The sequence below is a fragment of the Homo sapiens genome, chromosome 4 (genome assembly GCF_000001405.40).
Source record: "Homo sapiens chromosome 4, GRCh38.p14 Primary Assembly".
In the NCBI taxonomy this organism is placed as follows: Eukaryota; Metazoa; Chordata; class Mammalia; order Primates; family Hominidae; genus Homo; species Homo sapiens.
In genome coordinates, this window is record NC_000004.12 from 116,091,440 (window position 1) to 116,097,443 (window position 6,004).

General features: G+C 34.3%; 1 pseudogene; it reads right to left on the minus strand.

Annotated features, from left to right (window-relative positions):
* Positions 1-3,852: 3,852 nt before the first annotated feature.
* On the minus strand, positions 3,853-5,660 carry RLFP1 (RLF pseudogene 1; annotated as a pseudogene).

Genomic DNA, 6,004 nt, shown 5'->3' on the forward strand with positions numbered 1-6,004 from the left:
AAAAATGTATCTTCATCCATATAATATGATCTTGTGATCAGTAAATCATAACAATAATGGAATCACCTTAGAAAATTTAGTTTAAGAAACATTTTTTAAAACCTTCAGATTTCACATAAAGTAAATATTTAGCTACATTAACACATACACACATACACACCCCTTGCTAACAATTTTCCCTCTGATATAGACAGAATACATTTCTGTATCTTCCTCATTAACTAGCAACCTTCTATCATGCAAATCTAGCCATTTATCATTGTGTCTCACTATCATACATCAAAATCTACTTTTTAAAATGAACTGATTTTACTCATATAAATCTGCTCAAAAGTATTTTGCATTTTTTCACAGAAGCTGTAATAGGCAAATTCTCATATACTCCTATTAGAGGCCCTCCAAAATGAACATAGTCTAAATTATTGTTCTTGCATACCCTGCTGCAGAGGTTACAAATGTTTAGCTTCATTTTTACTTATCTTGTCCAAGGTAAAACAAGTATCATCGTCATTGTTGAATTGTATAGTGTGCCAGATCTGCAGTGTGATCTAAAACTAATATTGTCAGTGATGACCCTAGTCAAGAAAACTACAGATTGTATTTATTAACTTATTTTTAAACGTGTAATCATTTTAAAAGTTTTTGATCCAGCTTTATTACCTTTAGAAATTGTAGAATAGCAGTGATTAAAAGATAAATGTTACTTTTATAGAAAATGTAGCATAGCACTTTATTTCTGATATGTGTACAACGTTTGAGTTAATATACTGTAAAGCAAATAAAGATAGGTAAATATGTAGTACATGTGTATTTGGCATTGTTCTAGATTCTCTTATGCACATAGGACAACTAATTAAATTCTGTTATGTAGGTGATTTTTAAAAATTTATAAATAAATTATGGCTCAGAGCATCTAAGTAACTTTCTCAAGGTTATGCAACTAATAAATTGGTCTGACTGAGTGTATTTGGCTTTTCACAACAGTATGGTACTCAAGAAAACACATGTCAAATGTGTATACAATGCACATTTGTATACACATATGTGTATGTGTATATTTTCTTGTATCATACTGCCTATAAGTACGTAATCCCACAGGCAGTATGTTACAAGTAAATATGCACATATAAATTTGTGCACACCTCTATAGAGACACACACTTTCATTTACATTTTAACCTAATTTTAGTTTCAAATTTTTCAAAAATGGCTTTTCAATTACAGAAAGGAAAATGCTTCATATACTTCAAAGCTATCTACTAATGTATATCATGTTATTTATAGTCAGTAATGCTTATTCTTTGACTGGTGTTTGTAAATCTAATACATACTCACCAATATATAAAGAGACAACATGATGTAATATAACAAGCATAGGTGGTAGAGAGAACGAAGTGGACCTGCCTTTTCCCAGTTGAGTGATAATCAGTAATTCACATAGTCTTCCTCATACGAATGGTCATCACTTATAAAATCAAGATACTAATGCATACAGTAGTCCCCTTTTATCCATTGTTTTGCTTTTTGGAGATTCAGTGACCTCTGGTTGGCCACAGTTTAAAAGTAATAAATAGAAAATTCCAGAAATAAACAATTCATGAGTTTAAAATATGTTGTTCCAAGTATAACGATAAAATCACACTATCCCTTTCCTGCCCAGGACATGAATCATCCGTTTGTCAAGCATACCTGTGCTGTCTATGCTACCTGTTAGTCACTTAGCATCTGGCTGGGTGATCAATCAAATCAACTGTCTCAGTATTACAGAGCTTGTGTTCAAGTCACCTTTACTTTACTTAATAAAATTTTCAAAGTGCCAGAGTGGTGATGCTGGCAACTTTGATATGCCAAAGAAACGCTGTAAAGTGCCTCCTTTTAGTGAAAAGGTAAAAGTTCTCAATTTAAAAAGGAAAGACCAAAAATCTTATGGTGAGATTGCTAAAAACTATGGTAAGAATGAATCTTAGTCATGAAGAAGGAAAAATAAACTTGTGCTAATTTTGCTGTTGCACTTCAAATTGCAAAAGTTGTGGCCACAGTGTGTGATAAGTGCTTAGTTAAGATGGGGAGGAATTAAATTTGTGTGTGGGAGACATGAACAGAAATGTGCCCCAACTGATGTAATCAGGGTTGGTATTATCCACTGTTTCAGACATCCACTGAGGGTCTTGGAATGTATTCCCCCATGGATAAGGAGGGACTACTGTACCTTTCAATGTGGGTTGAAGCTGTACATTACAGAGTATAGATGCTTAATAAATTTTGCTTATAATAATCCCATCATCATCACCATGATAATTATCAACAGTAATTATTATTGATAAAAAAAATCAGAGTAAAATTTCTGTCCATAGAAAAGATCTCTAGTGTGGCCTGCTATATTCTCATTCCTAGAGCTCACTTCTTATAGGATATGTAGTATTCTGAGTGATCCAGCAATTCTAGTGCTGAAACAGAAGACTGTTTTCTTTAGTCCTATTTTTTGATAACAATTTCATCTTACACTCAATAGAACATTTAATTTTATGAAAGGCTATTAACTCTATAATTTATCTTCAAAATAGCATGTGCATTTTACAGGAGCAAGTTTTATAAATTTTTAAATGGAGTGAATAGAGGCTTACAGAAATGAAATTTCCACTTAGATCTCTATGTTACTAGAAACCCAGGATTTCTAGGTTTTGCTCGTGTTTGTGTTCACATAACCATCAGTCACTTAATTTATCAATATTCTTATTCTTCTACCTTTATATTGCTCAGGATTTATAATCAAAGAATTACAAGTACATGTATAATATGCTGATAGTGAAGTATTTCTGATTTGTTTTATAACCCGTATGTGGTGTCAATGCTGAAAACCTTCCGATCTCAGTTTTCCCTAACTTTAATTCAAGGAATGACTTTCCCCAGATCTAAATGACTGACACAAAGGGATGCTTTGCTTTAGTATTCAACTGCTTAAGTTTTCCTTCTCTGTCTTTGATGTTCTAAAAATAAGCTTCTATACAGAATATTTCTTCATTTTTGTTAATTTTTACATCACTATGTTTAACAATTACTAGGATTTCAATAAACACTTCTATTAGTAAAATATTTTAATGCATACCAAAATGCATTTTGGTGCATTAGTAAAATATTTTGCATACCATTTTGCAAAGCATTTTGCATACTAATAGCGGTGTGTAGTGAAAATATATTCAGCTGAATATTTTACTACCATCCATGTGTTATTTTCTTTTTCTTTTCGTTGGAGGGTAAAAAATTGTAATTTATTGAAACTCAACTGGAAAAGTATCAGATGCTTCAGTGTACAATAAATTGCACAAAGCACCCTCAGGTGCATATTCAAGTCAAGTAAAAAATCCCTCCATGTCCCTTTCCCTAGCCCTCACACTCTTGAGATCTTAATATTTGTTCCATGTGCAATCATGCACACTTAATTTGAAAAAGAAAGCCCTGGTATATTTTGATGTATTAATTAGCACCAAATGAGAACAGTTTCATTTTTTTAATAAAGAGAAAAACTCAATCAGTAAGACAACTGGAAAACAAACGGACTCAGCCAATGCTGCTGACATAGATATTGTACATTCCCAGAAATACACAGGCTATTCTACCTAAACAACGGTGTGGCTGCTTTTCAGCCGTTGTTCATGTTGGCAATTGTCCTGTTTCTTAATTGCATTTATCCTTTTTAGAATGGCAGTGTGATTTCTCAGATTTACTGGTGCAATCACCTCCAAGTTCTGCAGAACAATTACCTTTTACTCTGTCTACTAAGCATGTTGTGATCACATTTTTTATTATCTAATAGTTTGTGAGTTGCTCTGAAAATTTCATTTTGATGTTTATTTTTATAATAAATTCTAAGGTATACTTTTGCAATAAATGGGCCTTTGGCAAATAGGACATTGGCATGGTGAACTGAAGATTTGTTTCTTTTTAATAATTATGCTTTTAAAGATAATGCATTAACAAAGCCTCTCTGGTCACAAATTCATATTTGCATCATTGAAGCTCACAGAAAAAAAGGTTAGCCTCCAACTGTGCAAGGTACTAAAGCCAACTCTGATATCTTTCAGAAGAACCAATGGGTTTTTTGTTTCTTTCCTTCTTTCTTTTTTCTTTTCTTATGCTGATTTGTCAAATATCTTTTATATTGTTTATCTTCCTTACGTTCATCATCATCACTAAGAAGTAACTCTAAAACATCTGTGGCATTAATAGACATTTCTTAGCTATTTTCTTCCTCAGGTTTTTATCTGGTTGCAAATACAGTTTTTCCAACATATTAAATCCATCCAAACTGGATTTAATTAAGAATTCTGTAAGCTGACAGGATCATCTAACATCTAAATATTCTGGTAAAAAAACAGGCAATTGTTTTACTAACTAATGCCTTCCTTTTGTCATTCTTACTTGGTATGAGTTGAAGAGCTCTGAGACACAATAAAATCGACATCCCAAGACCAGCATCTTGTGCTTCAGTTTGTATAAATCTACTGAGGCAAAATAAATGCTTCTGTGTTTTAGCTACAAACTGACAACAGCAGTCCAAAAAAGTATCTAAAGAAGGGTTGATTCTCTTTGCAGAGTACTCCAAAAGAGTCAGTTCCTAAGAACAATACACACTTGCAGTTTGGAGCTGCTGGGTAAGGTAAGTAGCACAAAGAACAAAGCCTCTGTAATACCAACCCTTAGATTCCAGGTTACATATGACGTCGATGATGTCTTTCTTGCAGCTGACCCTTGCAATCTCCTTAATAGCATATTCATTAAGAGGCATGGAACATAATTATGTTACAAAGGGTTGTTGAAAAAATGACACATTTGAAATTTTTTAGATTTGGCACATAGTTTTAATAAAGCAGTAGCCTGGGGGATACAGTTAGATTTCAAGAAATGTTTTATTTGCATTTGCAGAAAGGAAGGGCTTTCCTGTGTAATCAATTTATTGACAAGGATTTTAAAGACAGTAGTGCTCTTTCCTCTAAACTAGGCATTTCTCAAAGTGTGTTTCACCAACCAAAAAACCTGCAGGATAGTCTTCCCTCTGTTTCTACTGACTGTTGAGACAGAATTTAAGAAAAACTTTTTTTTTCCACACCCTTTCCTTGGAAACATGAACCAATATTTGTAGGTTATTATTCTCAGATTGCAGTCATTCATCATGTGACTACTGTAGAGACTGAACGAACAGCACCCAGACTTCACATGGCAGTTAATTTTCAGACACTGAAAGCAATAATTAAAAACAACTCAGTACTATTCTGCCGAGCACTAAGAGGACATCTTCACATTCCTTAGTTAAATATGGACATGCACTGGCAAAGCTTTGGATGACAAGACAATATACCTCCTGATGATATACAATATGCTCTCATGCATTTTGTTGCTTTCATATTGCAATAGGGTCTGGCAGAAGCTCTGGAAGTAGTTTAAAGCTGAGACCACAGACTCCTTTTGTTCTCTCAGCTCTGTCTCCAATTGCCACAGACATTATTGCAGTCCCAGAGATCGTGGCACCTGAAATTCAGGCAGATGATGCCTGCCATGGACTCTGTCTTGGCTCCACTTTGGTTCCCACTACCACAGGAACCTCAACCTCATCCCCCACACCATGGCAGCAGCATCTGCCTGCCCTCCATCTTCACACTGCCCAGGTTGTATTTTTCCTTCAGAATATATTTTAAAAGCTTTCTCTAGGTGGTTTCTAATTTTGATATTCTTTATCATGATTACTGATATGATTTGGCTCTGTGTCCCCAACTAAATCTTATCTTGAATGGTACTCCCATAATTCCCACATATTGTGGGAGGGACCTGGTGGGAGACAATTTAAATCATGGGGATGGTTTCCCCCATACTGTTCTTGTGGTAGTAAATAAGTTTCATGAGATCTGAGTTTTATCAGGGGTTTACGCTTTTGCATCTTCCTCATTTTCTTTTGCCGCCACCATGTAAGGAGTGCCTTTCACCTCCTGCCATGATTTTCAGGAATCCAC